Genomic DNA, 18412 nt, shown 5'->3' with positions numbered 1-18412 from the left:
AGTGTGTTATTCCTAATACATAAGATAGAAGGACAAAACTCCCGTAAATAGACTTGGGTGGATGTGAACTGTCCGTTCAGTGTCATGTAAGAAAGAGAAGGTGGAGACAAGGTTACAGAGGGAATTCTACTGCATTATGTCTCATCTAGGCTCTTCCTTAGAAGGCAAGAGGTGATAAATAGTAACTATTCAAGGAACACCCTTCCTTGAGATGCTTGCAGTGGTGCAATCAGCCCCTGTGATCCAGTCATCTAAGTACTGGGATGTGTGTGTGGATACTTGTATGGTTTGGAGTACTATTCTAGTACTTAACTTGTATTACACTGGTTAATATTAAACAGATAATTATAATCTTTGCAAACTCCTACCCAGACTCATTTAAACCTCCTTAACACTTAAAGTCCATTAGGTTTTAGAACCCAGGGATTCCATCTGGCATGAGCTGCCTTCTTAAGTAACTGACTGTCAGTAAACAGCTGCTACCCTGCCAACAACACCCAGGGAAGGAAGCCTGTAAGATGGACCTCACTGTGTCCCTAATGCCTGGTCCAGAGCCACTTCAGAGGCTGAGTCACAGGGCAGCATGAGCCCATTCCTGCTTCTCCCTTACCTTCCCCCACCCCCAATACACTACCACTCAAGGTGATTGTATGAAACCCACTATAGTCTATGGCCCATGAACAAAATCACCTTCCCCACAAACCTCAGTTAATGCAGAACACATTGATGCTTGTAGTTAAACTATCATAATTTACAGACAGAAATCCAAAGCTTTAGTATACTTATTTTTCAAAAATAATCATATAAACATAACTATTCCTGAGAACCCTTAGGCACCAACTGGACACTCCCTTCCACCAAAATACACACACACGCACACATACAAGAAGCCCCAGTCACTGTAGCAGGGCATGGAAGGGCCTCTCTCATATTCTTTTTGGTACTGAAAACTGTAAGATGTACCAAGACAGATTTTCCCTCTATCAAATTAATGGATAAATATATGAATATCCATATTTTTCCTTGAAAATATTTTAAAACATTATGGTGCTTAATGTCCCTGTATTTATGTAATTCTATCCTTCCATAATTGGAATTGATTATACAGATTTCCATTCAAACTCAAGAAATTCCACTTAGCTGCATTCCATTCCTTTAATGATTCCCCTCAACCATGCAACACCAACACAGAAACCAAACACTCTATGTGAAAGTGCTTCTGAAGCTGAAAATCTTTAGGTAGACATATTTTCCACACATCCAAATGTATTAAATCATCCATAAAATCACATTGCCTTGAATTGTCCAGCCTGCCTTGTTACTTTATTAAACAATACCTTGAAGTGATCCTCAAATTCCAGAAAGGAGAAAACTTTCAGAGGGCCCCCATGAACAGTAAAATCTCTATACAGAACAGCTGAAAATCAGCAATGGCGCAGGGTGTAGTGGGAATTTAGCTGAGGGCCTTGGCCCCTGTTGGCAGCACAGATTACTGCATGAAAGTTTTCTTCCCTCACTAAGGCACTAACCATTTTAAAACTGAAATATGAAAGCTGCTTCATGGGAGCTGGAAGTAGGGAATATGCCCACCCCATTATTAATCCATTCGATTCTGGCTACAGCTTGTTCAATTTTTATTCTCTCTGTAAAGACAAGCAACTTTCAATATTTGTAATCTCTGGTGAATGAATGAATACACTTTCATTGTATACTCTTTTGCATTGTTTGAATTTCGTATCATTGATGTGGATAACATTTATAATAAAAAATTGTGAAGGGTTAATCCATAGATCTTCAAAGAGAAAGCACCTTAGTGATAAAGTTTAATACAAGCTTTAATATACAGGCTTTAAACAGGTGAGAAAAATGGAATCTCATGTCCAAGATTTTACCAGAGTTCATTGGCTCCCCCAGGTGTTTATCCAGAATATGCTCTGTGCCAGGTACTGTGTCAGGTGCTGGGGACACAGAGGTAAAACCAGTAGGCATGTCCCTGCCCGTATGAAAGCTATAGCCTAGTCAAAGATGGCATTAGTAGAAATAATCACTCCCAACAATTATTTGCTACAAAGGAAACTCACAGGGTTCCATGAGAATGTAGATGAGGGAACCATAGCAGTTCAGGGGATAGTTGAGACAGGCAGTTCTGATAATGTGACCTGTCATGCGGTGATTGGAGGATAAGGAGGGATCGCTCAGGCTGGAAAGGAGCACTCTCTGCACGAGGACCCTCCGAGCTGTGTACGCCAGGCCTGGGAGCTTGGCCATCTGACTTCTAACCCAGGTCCCTCTACTGCAGTGCCTGCCACTTGGCTGGTCCTGCTAACATCAACGGGCTGCCAATTTTAAAGCACAACCATCAGTGCTCATATACACCAAAATACCTCTAAAGAATTAATACTGTAAATCAGAGTATAAAGTGCTGCTATCAAAATACTACCCCTCCCAAATGACCCATGTACCTATCTTAATATCCCAAATATTAGTAATCATTTATAAACTTGAATTAAGGCACAAGTCAGAGTAACAAGAAGCAGAGAAAAGTTCCTTAATAGAAATTACTCTCCACTCACCCGCCTATTCAACAATTATTATTTAAAAAGCAATGTACAGATGGGTGCAATGGCTCACACCTGAAATCCCAGCACCTCGGGAGGCCGAGATGGGAGGACAGCTTGAGTCCAGAAGTTGGAGACCAGCCTGGGCAATGTAGTGAGACCTTGTCTCTACAAAAAATTTAAAAATTAGCTGAGTGTGGTGGCACGCGCCTGTAGTCCCAGCTACTTGGAAGGCTGAGGTGGGAGGCTCACTTAACTGTCTTGTGAGACTGGATGGGAGTAGGGAGGGTTCTGAGCTCCCCAGCAGGTCCTGGCAAGTGAGCCAGGATGGGAAGGTAAGGGCTTCTATAGAAGCAGGGGCAGAGGAAGGGGGCTCCTAGGATGCGGGCTCATCCATTGCGCCACTACATGTAGCTGATGGAACAATCATTCCCTCAGCTCCTTACTTCTTTGTCTACCACACATTAGAATCCCTTCACGTCCTCCTGGCCTCTTGCCAGGCACCTCCCACTGGATTACAGGAATCCTCTCTGCCTCCCCTCCAGCCATTCAGCCTCCCCGTGATCTCTCCCCTTGACCGCAGCTGGCTTGGCTCGGAACTTGGCACAGAGTGGGGCATCGGATGCGTCAGAATTCTTTCTCCTCATGACAGACCTTCCTTCCCTTCTCCACCCCATCACTGGCAGCACTCCCATATCCTCCCACCTGCAACACTACTTGCCCTTCACACACCTGAATCTGTCTTTGTTTGTTGAGGGTTACTAAGAACACTGGGCTGCGTGCATGTTCCCTCCTTCTCCACTTGACAATCCATTGGCAGTTTCACTTTGAGTCATTCACTGACTGTTCTCTCCTTGTTGGCTGCTGTGGCTTTAGGAGCCCTGGGTTCCCTCCCTATACCTCTAACTTGTTTTCTTCCGGAAGCCTCTTCCACTTGCTCCATTCTTCTCTGTATTCTTTTTTTTTTTAACTTTTAGGTTCAGGGGCACATGTGTAAGTTTGTTAAACAGGTAAACTGCGTGTCATGGGGGTTTGGTGGACAGATTATTTCATCGCCCAGGTGATAAGCACAGTACCTGATAGGTAGTTTTTCAATCCTTACCCTCCTCCCTCCCTCCAGTGTTCTTTAATAGTCAGTCTCTGCCTTTTCTCTGATATTATTGCTCCCTCTGAATGTTGATTTCTCCCCATGACTTTAAGCATCTCTTATTTTGGGAGCAATTCTTCAAACCTTATCAGCAACTCTACTATATGACCAGACTGCATTATTTTACCTTAAAGAGAGGAAGCCAAGAAAGATAGATATAGGCTGAAATCCCTGCTCCAATGCTTATTAGCCCAAATTAACCTCTTGGAGCCTCCGTATTTCCTCATCTGTAAAATGGGGGTAATACCATGAAGCTGCTCTCAGGAAATCACCTGGCCTTGACTCACCTGTTGATTCAGTGCCAGTTCCAGTCCTTATCACCATTACATCCTTCTCATTTCTACTGCTACCCTACTCCAGGTCTAATCACCTATCACCCATACCTGGATAGAAACCCCCTTTTAATAGTTTCCATCTAATAGTTGCCATCCTTACCCTTATTTGTCTCTCAATCCTTTCTGTCTAGGGCTGACTAATCTTTCTAAAATAAATGTCTACCATGTTTCCGCACTGATGAAATATCAATAAGTCCTAGACAAAGTTTAATGCCTTCTGCCTGATTTTTAGATTCTCCATTATTTGACCTCTCTCATCATGACCCCATATTGAGTCTCCCCTCTAACCATGAAGGTGTCCTTACCATCTCACGAGCACCACATCAGGCAGCATAACACACAGGTTAAAAGGGTTAGAGTGGATTCTGGTCTCAAGACCATGGTGGAATCCAGCTGCCATTTAATGCACATGCAACCTTGAGCAAGTTGCTTAACCTCTCTGCCTCAGTTTCCTCATATGTAAAATTGAAATAGTAACAATTCTTCTCTGGTTGAATTGTTTTGATAGCCGTTTTAAGGATAAGTTAATGCATGTGAACCAATAACTGCTTGGCAAGTGATAAGTGCTGGGCAAATGGCAGTTATTGTTATCACTATCACCATCACACTCCCTTCCACTTCTGAGCCTTGCAACTTGCCATTCCCCCTGCCTAGAAGCCTCTTCCCTGCCCAAGTCCCATCTTCCCTGCCCTTGAAGATTTAGCTCAAGATACACTATTTGCATCTGCTTTAGCTCTTATTATCTTCTCAACTCTTGTGTTGATATTTCTCACTTTAACACTGAACCATGCATTCTGTGTTGGAGGGTTACTGAGTTCCTTTCTAAGTGTACATTATGTCTTATCGATGAAGCTATAAATTTATCAAGAGGCAGAGGTCATTTCTACTCCCCACAGTGCCTATACAGTAGCAGAGAGGGGCTCAAAAATCACAGTTGATTCACATTTTTGTTTCCATTTTCTAGCTGTCAGTTAGTCTCATTTAAACACAGAATAAGATACAGTTTTAATACTTTAAGTTTTTTTTAAGCTGGAATCAAGAACACACTTAATAAATCAGAAGACTTAAGTTTCCATTTGGATGGCTGCTAAGTGGCCGGGACTCCATGGGAGGTCAATTAAGCCTGCTGAGCATCTAGTTTCTTATCATGGCAATACCATGCACCCTACAGGGTTACTGTGAGAGTCAAATTAGATACCAAATGTTAGAGCAATTTAGGCAAACCGCAAAACAAATACAAAACATTTTCTAAATTAAAAAATCTGACAAATCAATAACTAATTTTTAACTTTTACAAACAGCTCTGCTAGATGTACAAGAGAAAAACAAATAATTTGACCTGAGCCATGATCAGATTCTTATTTAATAACACATCTCAAATATTGAAATAAAGGCAATCATGGGTGAAAAAAAATCCTTTCCTCACAACATTTATAAAACAGCCAAATGTGAACTCCATGAAGGCAGGGGCCAGGCCTGTTTGAGTTGCCACCCATCCCCATCCCCATCCCCGGAGCCTTAACATAGTAGTTGCTTAACAAGTATCTGAGATAAATGCATGAATTTGTACATGAATAAACACAAGAGTATTATTTTATGGCACAAAACCAATATTGTCTGAGTTTTATTATTTGATCGTCAGAAATTCTGTTGACAGCAGAGGTCAGAAAACTGATTAGAATAACGCAATTTAAACTTTAGGTCATTTACGTTATGACTGTCATCAACCAGGAGTTGTACAACTTAAAAATAAAACACATATACGCAAAACCCTGAGCTGCTTCCTGTAAGACAACCGCAACAAAACAAGGCTGCTCACAAGGGGCTTTTCTAAGAAAGACATGGACATTCTTTAAACACCTTTTATAGGTCTATTGAATACAGGCTTCCATTTTTCTTTCTGTAATGATGGATTATTCACTTCAGGAAATGAATATTCAGATGTCTGTTGTTTGCCAAGCTGTCACACCATGACATACATTCTTACAATCCCTTTAATTATTAAGTATAATAATGGTGCTTTTAAAGAGACCTGCAATAGAGTCATCTAACAAGGTATAGTGTTTATGATAACTGAAAGTGTGATTCTGATGAAAGATAAACAATGGATCATCTATGAATGAAGTTCAGCCATCTCTTTTGGGCAGAATATGGTGTTGTGCTAGCAGATCTAGTTACAGTGCCAACTTGTATCTCAGAACATAGTATTTGACAAGTTTGACTGTGATAAGATCTTAGGTACAATACAATGCTACAGGCGGTCAGAAGAGGGAGACTATTTCTGAGGTGCTGGTTTGGAAGATGGTTAGGAAAGGCTTCATAGACAAGGCAGGGACTATTTATTGGATGCTTATTGTAGTGTCATCTACAGGGAGGTGGGGACTTATAGAATCTTCCAAATACCAGGAGCTGTGACAGGTGCTCTATGTATCTCATTTCAATATATCTTCATAAATCTTGATAGGTAAACATTATCTGCATTTTATCAATGAGAAAAGTGATGCTTAGAGAAGTTAAATAACTTATCTAAGATTACACAGTTAAGAAGGGGCAGAGCCTGAATTTGAACACAGATATGACAATAATGTCCATGAACTTTTTGCTGTAACAAGTTGACTGCCCTCATATCAAATATTAAAACAAAATATCTTGATTTTACAAAATGTGTAGATAGAGGCTGGATCAGGCAGGCATTCTAGGTGAGCAAAACAGCTTGCACAAGACTTAGGGGTAGGAAAGTACCAGAGATATTCAGTCCAGAATGCAACAGGTTAGATGAAGTTGAATGCAAAAATTTAGAGAATTGGGACTACTAGGGAGAAACTGAAGATAACTACAGCTTGGCAGAGTAGGCTGTACATTCATAAAATACATTACAAGGAAACAGTTTAGTTAAAAATAAAGAGCTCTACTTGTTCTGAGGAGTGCAGAGCACATGAGCTTTGGCCTCTGATGCAACATGTGGGTAGGCCTCGAAATAAACATACAAACGTTGCCTAGCAACTGTGACAATAGTCACAGCTGATCTGTGATCTAAATCCAAGCTAGAAGGATACTGGCCATATTCTCTGAGGGTCTGATTATGAGCTCTGATACCGGACCACCCCAAGAACTTAGAAAAAAAAATCCACATTTAAGGCATGAAGTTGAGCTTCCAGTTCTACGAGGCAACTGCTTCATTTTCATTGCTTTCCAAACTCTAGTTTTCCAGTGCTTTTTTATGGGATAATAATTTTGTAAGTAAGGAGAAGAGCTAGCCACACAGCCTAGGTCAGTCATCAAAGAATAGAAAAGCAGATTTCTTTCCTGAAGTTGTATTCATGTCTCTAGGGATTCCAGTTGCTTCTCTTGATGCATGAAATAATTCCAAATATGTCTAATCTCTGGCTGCCTAAGATAAAGCAAAACAGGGAAGTCAGGTCCAGAAAATGCAGCCTACTTTCTGCTTCTTGTCCCTCCCCTAGAGAAGGTTTCACAGGTGAGGATTTACATAAGCCTGTGAATCAAACAATTTCTGTTAACAGGCACTACAGGAGCCATGAGGAAGACTGTACTTGACTAGCCATGTGACTTGGAGCTCTTAATCTTTCTTGCGCACCTTTTCTTTATTTGTAAAAACTGTTGGCCTTGAGAATCCTGTAGTTCTGCAGTTCTAATATTATATGCTATACTTTAGTGAAGGGCATTAAATAATGTGCTTAAGGACAGATGTTCAATTGGGAAACACAGAGGTTAAGAGCATGAGCTCTGGAGTCCCATAGACCTGAGGCCTAATTCTGGTTGCACAACTACAGGCAGGCTGCTTAATCCTTCCAAATGTGAGGTTTTTAAATTCATTTAATGTATATAAAAAAAGATACCTACTTCATAAGCTAGCAGTGAGGATTAAATGAGGGTATGTATATAAAGTGCATGATTTGGTGCCTGGCACATGGTACATCAATAGACAGCAGTGATTTTTATTATTTTATGAATGCCAACAGCCTCGAAAGTTTCTTTGCTTGGCCTCAGAATGACAGAGTAATTCTGTGCTGACCACTGTGTTTTTTTTGTTTTTTTGGACAGAGTATTGCTCTGTCACCTAGCTGGAGTGCAGTAGCATGACCTTGGCTCACTGTAACCTCCGCCACCTGGGTTCAAGCAATTCTCCGGTCTCAGCCTCCCAAGTAGCTGGGACTACAGGTGTGCACCACCACACCCAGCTAATTTTTGTATTTTTAGTAGAGATGGGGTTTCACCATATTGGTCAGGCTGGTCTCAAACTCCTGACCTCAGGTGATCCACCCACCTCAGCCTCCCCGAAGTGCTGGGATTACAGGTGTGAGCCACCATGCCCAGCCTGAGCACTAATTTGAGAAGTTACACATTTCACATTAATCTTGCTTATCTTCCTCAAAGGAAAGAACCTGCAACATTATTTTACATTGTGGCATTTTCTTTGGATTCAAATGCATGGTTGCTTTAGGTCCATGTTCCAGTCAAATGAAGAGGAATCTTGGTAGCAAGAGCATATACCTGTAACAACCCTGACAGATTATGAGCTCATCTAAAGCATATATGGTTATTGATGATATGATTATGGTATAAGAATGAGAAATTCTGGCCAGGCACGGTGGCTCACACCTGCAATCCCAGCACTTCGGGAGGCTGAGGTGGGTGGATCACCAGGTCAGGAGATCGTGACCATCCTGGCTAACACAGTGAAACTCCGTCTCTACTAAAAATACAGAAAGTTAGCTGGGCATGGTGGCACGTGCCTGTAGTCCCAGCTACTCAGAAGGCTGAGACAAGAGAATCACTTGAACTCAGGAGGCAGAGGTTGCAATGAGCCAAGATTGCACCACTGCACTCCAGCTGGGTGACAGAGCAAGCCTCCATCTCAAAAAAAAAAAAAAAAAGAGAAATTCTGAGGTCTGCTGAACAATCATCCAGAAAGCCTTTCTACTTCCATAGTGCATTCATTCCTTAGGTGTAAACTGAACAGAGAGCAAGAAAAACATGAGAACTTTTATGTGCACTTACGCTGCAAAACCAACTGCAAGCCTCAATCTCCACAGAAATGAGAGACTCAAAATGTCTCTAACACAAAGTAGGGAGGAACATATGAGGATATCTTAAGACAGAGCCAAACATGAGGACTGAGAGATGGGCCTGGCAGCCAGCCCACCTTTCACTGAAGAATATTCTTAATTAAAAAGCCAACGTCATGAGAACTGTAACAAGGTTCTCTTATCCAAGCTGATTGTCAAATAACCAACATGAAAATGGGGAGTGAAATAAAATGTTATTCTGGAAACCACCTAAGAAGAACAAATTCACAAATGTATACTGACAGCAAGTTTAATTTTGCAAATATTAAAGAGGCAGTGTTGTATCAATCTTTGCAAATATTAAAGAGATGGTCGCTGGGCACAGTGGCTCATGCCTATAATCCCAGCACTTTGGGAGGCTCAGGTGGGAGGATTGATTGAGCCCAGGAGTTAGAGACCAGCCTGGGCAGCATAGTGAGACCCCATCTCTACAAAAGAATCAAATTAGCCAAGTATGGTAGCACACACCTGTGGTCCCAGGCCCTCAGGAGGCTGAGATGGGAAGACCACTTGAGCCTGGACATAAAGGCTGCAGTGGCCCGTGATTGCACCACTGCACTCCAGCCCAAGTGACAGAGCAAGACCCCAAGAGCCTGTTTCAAAAAAGAAAAGAAAAGAAAAAAAGTTGTGTCATGGTTAGAAGAATGGCTTTGGAGCCAGGCCACTTGAGTTTGAATCTCAGCTCTGCTAAATTGTGTGACCTTGAGCAAATTTCTAAACTGCTCCATGCCTGTTTCAGATAATGATACATTCCACTGCATTACATTCCACCTTCCCATCAGATAACAATTCAGTGGAATAGATAGAACACATTTTAAAGTAGGATTCATTTGAATTTGAAACTGCTGTAAATATATGAGCACTGCTGCTTATATTTCAATCTAAGCAAAAGTTTCCTATAGGGTAAGGGTGTCCTATTTCCTATAGGATAAGGGTGTTTTCAGTTATGTGCTATTTAATTTTACTATTAATTTTCACCATATTCCAAAATGGCTAATTTATTCCTTCTCTACTGCCCATATCAAATGTCCAAAGAAACTGCCAACTAAACTATTATCTCCTAATCCCAATCAGTGTACAATACTCTCTTTCAGACAAGTGGGAAACCTCACCCATTAGAATTTCAGCAGTCCTAAGATACTGCATATAACAAAAGAGCACAATATTGATTTCCAGTGTTTAAGTTTAGAAACAAATTCCCCTCTCAGTTATTTAAACTACTTAGATACAAACTACTGAACAGAGGATTTTGTAAGACTAGTCTGCTGAAAAGAATTTTAGAATCAAATAGAATCTTGCTATTTGTAGTGACCTAGGGTAAGTTATTTGAACTCTCTTGGCCCTCAGTCTCCTCATTTATAAAACTGTCAATACCTCCTTACCTAGTTGTAAAATATGCAACTCTTACAAGGAATAAATGAAATCTTATGTAAATCACTTAGCACAGTAGTTGTCCAATAAATTAATAAATGTTAAATTTATTTGTTTCTATTTATTTTCAAAATCTACATCCTGTAGAGTTTCTCTAAACTATATACGTGCTGCTAGACTGAATCCTGCCCCCAGAGCATTCCAGAATTTTTTTCAGATTATCAGCAATAGCTAGAATGTTCTTAGTTAACTTTTTCTTTGTTTTATATTGGTTGTCTTCCCAAGTTGAATGGTACCCAAATTTTCAGTTCATTGACCTATATATAGTAGGATATGGAGAAGTTACACATACATTGAGAAAATATGGTTTACTACTACTTCAACTGGAAATCAAGTGGTATTTCACAAAGATTTTAATTGAAAATATGGAGATCAGTGTTGATCACATTTAATCTTTGGAAACCTGTGAACAGGTATAAAAATATGATTGTCAGAAGGGCTGGAGAAGAAAACAATTCTAATTTTCTGGGCTAAGAATCCAGGCCTGCCACAATAACACTGTGAGAATAATTCAGCACACAATACTGCAATAATTAAAAGATTATTGAAACCAACAGAAGGCTCAAACTCAACAGCCAAGAGAGATTAAACCTCCATTTTTAAACTCTGAATATTCAGCAGAGGACAGACTTTTTTTTTTTTAAGTGATGTGGACCCATTAGGGCTAAAATCCCAAGTAAATATAATTAACTAATTGATTAAAAACTCAAGGTTAGAGTAAGATATCATGTGGAAGATATTTAGTTTTATAATATTGCTGGGGGAAAACAGGATCTCTAATTCTAATCATTGAAACTATATGTAGAATAGGCAGGAATTCATAACTATTTAAATATTTTAGGCTAAAAATGTTCATAATTATTGCTGGCAATGAATGTAATGTCAAGCCACTGGGCAATGTAACTGGCCAAGCATTAACACTGTAGCTCAGTGGTTCTTGACATAACGGGTAGAAATGGTCCTGGAAGAGAATTATTTATAGGCAGTAGTTAGAACAGTGGGAGAGGAAGGGGGACAATAGACACTTAGAAACATACAAAGGAAAAAGGGCAAGAAGAAGAGGGAAGGAGGTCTGTGGCCTAAAAAGCTGTAAGCCTCTCACGTAATTCTAAAATTCCCAGACATGGAGAATCACTTTTAGGTAATTTAAAACAAGATGGCTTTGTAGTGGCTCATTGAAAGGACCACCATTTTCTACCGTCTATTGCTGTACATTAGTGCTCTATTCCTGGTGACAATCTCTGTCTCTTCACACTTACATTTGGTTAAAAGAAAGGATCACATAAGATATTAGGATAAATTTGCAAAATGACTCTTCAAAATTACCTTCCAGCCAGCTTAAAATAAGATTTTTGATGCTAATATTGCTAGCCTAGGTTACTGAAGAACCTAAATGTTCCCTAAAAAGACTGGGACAAAGGCATACATGCTTGCCCTGAAGTACCTCAATAATACTTGTCCTCTTTAGTCTTATGTCCCTAAACCCCAGGAACACTTGATACTTGTGACTTTCTCTATAGCCCGCGTCCTTTCTTGCACCACAAGGAAATAGTAGTATGTTGTAGACATCATCGATCCCAATATTGCTATCATTTTATAGGTAGATATTCTGGAACTAATATTGGGGAACCCCTAATGCTGCACACATTATACACCAAGTATACAGCTCAGCTGCCAGGATATTTTTTAAAACAGGATGCAATTTTCAAATGGTCAAGTAATTAAATTTTCAGAAAATAATATATGTCTATTTCTGTAGAACAGGAGTCTAAAAAGCAAATGAAAACATGTGTAGAGTGATATGAATATCATCAGATCATTACGAAGATCAGGCCAGTATGAATATCATAAGGCCAGTATGATGATAAGATAAGCATGTGACAAGCTAGTACATGTATTCCCCAACTTAAAGGCTTTCAAACATTTTAAACACATTGTTCAGGTCTAACAAAATTAGTCTGTGTTCTAATAAAAGAACTCCATTTTGTTCCAGACATGAGAATACTGAATAAAATTTAACATAAAAAATAAAATAGATAGGTAAGCTTTAAAGAAGAGAAATTCCCAAGTAACCTAACGGGGAGGGAATTCTAAGTCCTCTGGTGAGCAAGGCTGAGACAGAATGACTCACGGGGATATCAGAAACAGATATAACAGTTGGGAACTAGGAATTGAATTCTCTAAATGAGAAAGGAATCCTGGCTACAGGCCCTGTGCTGAGTTACTAGCTTAAAACCAGAAGCTACTCAGAACTGATCATCCACAAACATAAGCCTTGACAACTGCCCACCTGTCCAGAATAATGGTAAGGCAGCTTTCTTTCTGGCTGGAGCCATGAGTGTAAAAATGCATATGCATGAGAAAAATAAATTCCAAACTTGTGCCATTGGGCACTCAAGGACCAAATTTATTTCTGTATAGTGGAAGCACCAAGCCAAGATATTAACGCTGTTGAAATCTGAATGACCACAGGCAGCAACGTACTAAAAACCACTTGGTAGAGGCAGATCTACAACATAGGGGAAAAAGGACTCTCATGGAAAACAATCTTCATTGAAGGTGAATTTCAAGCCACATTTTCCCAACCTAATCAGGAAGTAAAATAGCATGCGGGAGAGTCATTGTTACAAATATAGGAGAAATTTTACTTCAAGAATTAAAGACAGGCTGGGCGCAGCAGCTCACACCTGTAATCCCAGAACTTGTTTATCCTCTTTTGCACCTCGGGTTGAGTAGTGAAGAAAGAAATAGAGGTGAAGAAGGAGGCCGAGGCAGGTGAATCAGTTGAGCCCAGGAATTCAAGACCAGCCTGGGAAACATGATGAAACCCTGTCTCTATCAAAAATACAAAAATGAGCCAGGCATGGTGGCTCTCAACTGTGGTCCTAGCTACTTGGGAGGCTGAGGTAGGAGGATCACCTGATCCCAGGGGGTCAAGGCTGCAGTGAGCTGTGATTGTGCCACTGCACTCCAGCCTGAGTGACAGGGCAAGACCCTGTCTCAAAGAAAAAAGTAACTAAAACAATAGAAAAATCTGAAGGGGACTTTTAATAAATTTTAAAAATCAAAGACACAAAAGAAAAAATAAAAGCCCCAAATCAAAAATAGGTGAAAATATAAACTACACATAACTGCATAGAGACTTAAGCGACTGCAAGATAGATCTGAGGCCATTAATCACAATGCAGCACAGAAAAATAAAGAGATGGAACATATGAAAGGGAAGAATCCTGAAAAATAAAAATGCTGGTTACCAGTTTCAGTTCCCTGATGCAGACTCACCTCTCTAAACCTGACACAACTTTTAAAATAAAATGCTATAAAATAACGCATGTCTAAAAGCATATGAGGCACTGTTTTAAACATATTGTTAGCATGAGAATATTTATATTCAGGGACGCTGATGATTATTAGCCATAGTAATGGAGTCATATAAAAGGGTTTCATTTTCCCTATCGGATATAAACACAATTTCCTACATTCACAATAAGGAAAAAGCACATGTAACTGAAAAATGTATAAGTGATTCTATTCCCTGCTACCTTCCCTGGCCACTCTGTTAGTATAGTTAATAAGGAAACAGTATGTGCAGGAGGCTAAGCTCCTGATTTCTTGGTGGGAACAGCACTCATAGCTCACACTTTCCCCGGCAACTCTGGAGGCCCTGAGGTGTGGTCTAGGTCTTTGACTCTTAAGTCACTGGTATGGGGGACCTCAGTCCATTATAGAGCTCAGGGAGAATACTTGCATACTAAGCGCTTTAATCTGTTACGGCAACTTTGAGTGAAATATCAATGGTCCATGACCTTGCTCAGGCTCCAAACGTGGGCCATGAACATCAGTTGGTTTAGTTCATTAGAGACCTTCCCTGTGAAGGTCGATTGGATCATGAGGTCAAGAGATCGAGACCATCCTGACCAACATGGCAAAACCCCGTCTCTACTAAAAATACAAAATTTAGCCAGAAGTGGTGGCACGTGCCTGTAGTCCCAGCAATTCAGGAAGCTAAGGCAGGAGAATTGCTTGAACCCAGGAGGTGGAGGCTGCAGTGAGCCGAGATTGTGCCACTGCACTCCAGCCCGGGAAACAGAGCGAGACTCTGTCTCAAAAAAAAAAAAGGTTAACTAAAGTTAACACATTCAATAAAAGCAGACCCAAAATCATTTTTTCTAACATATAAAATATCTTCCTCAAATAAAGTTAAATGTTAGTTTTTTAAAAAACAGAGTGTTGTAAAGGGATCTGTAGGAAAACAAATGGCAACAAAACAGACCAAGCAACAACTTTGACAGGAACCAGGGAAAACGACAAAAGGTGAGTAAACTGGGTGTGAAGTTTTCCTCCTCTAGCTAAGGAGATGTATTTACCAGGTGGTAGCTGCCAAATATGAAATTAGAAACTAGATTGAGAAAATGAATCATTAGAAAGAATTCAGGGGCAGGTTATTCTGATTGTTGATGAACTTGTCTTTGCACTTTTGCACCTCGGGTTGAGTGGTGAAGAAAGAAACAGAAATATGAGCAGCAGAAATGTAACCCTCAGAGCTTGCCTGGGGGACTGACAACACACACCCAATCAGCTGTGGCGGCTCCAGTTAAACTGCGTAGAGCCCCAGGACAAAATGAAAATCTTAGATGTTACTGACACCTGATGGAAATCCAGTCTGTCTACAAGGGAAGAGTAGCAAGAACATCTTATCAGAATGTCCTAGAATTAACCAGAACTCTCAGTTCCACAAAACAGCACATGCAAAGGTGTGCAACAGAAACTGGAGTGTCTCAGGGGAAAGCACGGGAAGAAGAGATTAAGAAAATAATGCATCAGGCAAGCCAATGACTGGGAGGCTGGATGTATTTCACACTTATAAGCAGTCCTGCCTTTAACTGACTGTGCTCCACCAGAATAACATCTCAGTCATTAGGATCTGCAGCTGTTGGCATTTTCTGCTTTAGCCTTGCCTCCTGGTTGCAGATTTCCTTTAAAGAAATCATATTTCTACTGTATATTCCCAGAAAAACAGGCTCCCAAGCTTAACCTCAACCCTCTTCCTTTAACCTTTCACTCCGCTTTTACAGTATCGTGACAGCACTGCCATTTAACACTTTTTACATTGCTCTTTATATTTGTTATATGGGCCATACCTCTGTATGCCTAGCATCACGTCTGGCCAATTGCAGAAACTCCAGGGAAAAAATAAAGAAAGAAAAAAGGGTTCCTTGCTCATATATTTTTTGATTATCCACTCTATAATCTTTAGCCAAAGCACAAAGAGATATTAAACTTCAAAAACTCTACTTGTAAATCCTAGAGAATAAAAATGAATATTATTTTATCATTTCTACCTAACCAGGAATAATCTATATTAATGTAACAGCATCTTAGGGCTCTATTCATATTACGATAAAACTAATCTTTTTTCCAATCCAATAAATATTGAGCAATTACTATGTGGAAGACATGAAGTAGATGCTATAGGGGATTCTGTCTTTAAGGGGCTCATGGTATAGTAAAAGTTTGCATTCTGAGAGAGGAAATCACTGTAGCAAAATGCGAATTTAGTGTGTGATAACTTTTCATGCACTGAAGCTCATTCTTTGAAAAGTGTTCATGGCAAGCTGTTAAATATGTCCTGAAAAACAATATAGTATGGCAGTTTTTATTTTCTTAATCTGTAAAACGAGCATAACAGGAGTTTCTACGTCATAGCTACATTATCATCACAGCACATAAGGGCTCCGTATGTGCTTAGAATATAGTGTTTTCAGTAAATGTAGCTGTTACTATTAATGTGTTATAGCCACATTAGAACTATTATTAGAACTATTAATATAAATATTAATATTAGAACTATTAATACTATGTTCTAATACAGATTATGCTCATCTATTCTTTTACTAGAACCTATTACAGTCACCTTCTAATAATCCATTATTATTGCTTAGGGTAGACAATAGAGTACTATAGCACATGGGTCCAACAATGTCACCTTGCTAACGGTATGATTGATTACACAGTTTCTGCCCAAATCGCAATGTTCAAATAAACAGATTTGTCCAGAAGCCATCAAGTCTTAGGAGATGTAAAGTGGCCTTAAAAATTGGAAATCATTGACTAATTATTTTTATGGCTTTCCATCAAAATGGTATGGCTCAATTCTTTTTTTTTCTTTTTTTTCTTTATATATATATTTTTTTGACACAGAGTCTCATCGCTGTGTCAGGCTGGAGTGCAGCAGCACAATCACAGCTCACTACAATTTAACCTCCCAGGCTCAACTGATCCTTCCACCTTAGCCTCCCAAGTAGCTGGGGCCACATAGGTGCACGCCACCATGCCCTAATTTTTAAATTTTTTGTAGAGACAGGGTCTTGCTATGTTGCTCAGGCTGGTCTCAAACTCCTGGCCTCAAGCGATCCTCCCTCCTTGGCCTTCTAAAGTGCTGAGATTACAGGCATGAGCCACCGTCCCTAGCCCTTTTTAATATGTTTTATTCAATTTTAAAAAATTGGATGTAGTACCCAACCAAAGTTCATTTAAATGCATGAAAGTGCTTTCGGTCACGCTCTGACATTCAGTGCGAGCAAAGAGCTCTATCTAATTCAGAATTGTCACCCAAAATGCCAAGACTATGCCTTTTGAGAAACATTAAGATGACATTTTTAAGTCAAGAGCGTCCATAGAGAAAAAATTAAATGCAATGTTCATGAAGACCTCCTGTAATTTTCTAGTAAGCAGATTGCTAATTCTATGTATCAGAAAAACTATGCGATATGTTCTTATGAGGTTAGACACACCAATGCTAAAACAGATATCCCAGATTCGTATGATCTCCAAATTGAGGGAATTATAAGGTATAATGAAAGAGGAGATACAAAGATATATATGAACATAGAAGAATATGGGTTATGGAGTTTTTATTTGAATAGGACTAATTAAGACAGTTCATATTTTGAGAAAAAGTAAATGTTTCCACCTAAGAAGTAGTGATCACTTAAAGTTAACTGTGATTATAAACAATGAATAGAAACATAAATACTCAGCTGATTTTCAGAAGTTATTCAAATGAAAAGAAAATGCTTTCTTTTTCTTTCTGGTTTCATTCTTTCAAACTGTTACTTTACGTACTAGCTTTTATGTTTTCATTGCAGTACAGATGTTATACTTAGTCAATTCTGCCAGAGAATAATCAAGGAACCAAAACTCCCCACTAATTCTATATAATCAACTACTCTCTGGCATTCGGACTCTTCTTTCAAAGCATCTGAACTGAACCACAGCCAATATTTATACTTGAATGTGCTGCTTCATAAACACTGTTTCACAGTCTACAAAGCATGCTGATTCGTAATAGACACCAGGAGTCCTTGCTGCACACACACGGGATCCCTAGTCAGCCTCATTGCTATAGGTGGCTTATTCCTTCTCCATCAGTCTACAGGTGTGGCCTTTCCTTGTTCAGCAAGATTTTGCTAAATTTCACTACTTCATTTTAATCCTATACTGCCTCCTAGAACCCAAGCAGCACACCCTCCCCAGCATATTCCCAACAACTCAATATTCCTTTTAGATACTGAAAAATCAGTGCACAAAAGTCGAATACATTCATCAGAAAGAAGCAATCTATATTAATATAAACTCTAGTGCTGATTAGGAAATAGACTTTCCCCTTTTGAACAGTAGATGCCACTCCTTGTTGAGCTTCCCTGCAATGCAGAGGTTTTTCCTCTGAAAAACATGTGAAACAGCAGGAACTTTCCAGAGCTGCTGATTAAGCATTTCTGTCATTCTGATGCATAGGTGGTTTCCTAGAAAACTAGAGAGGCCCCAAAGTCCCGATCCTTAGGGAAGCTG

The 18412-nt window shown here is 39.7% G+C and overlaps 1 protein-coding gene and 1 long non-coding RNA gene across 34 annotated transcripts in view; both read right to left on the bottom strand.

Annotated features, from left to right (window-relative positions):
• The window catches only part of CAST (calpastatin), an 813255-nt gene that overhangs the window by 52612 nt on the left and 742231 nt on the right, over positions 1-18412 (bottom strand). The window lies entirely within an intron of this gene.
• LOC107986363 (uncharacterized) lies at positions 5633-16727 on the bottom strand. The gene is made up of 2 exons (XR_001742454.2): positions 9599-16727; positions 5633-7431 (listed from the first exon to the last, which is right to left on the bottom strand). It is a non-coding gene; the product is annotated as an uncharacterized LOC107986363 (long non-coding RNA).

This window comes from Homo sapiens, chromosome 5 (genome assembly GCF_000001405.40).
Source record: "Homo sapiens chromosome 5, GRCh38.p14 Primary Assembly".
Classification (NCBI taxonomy): Eukaryota; Metazoa; Chordata; class Mammalia; order Primates; family Hominidae; genus Homo; species Homo sapiens.
Note: the sequence above shows the minus strand (reverse complement) of the source record. Positions and strands in the feature narration are given on the sequence as shown.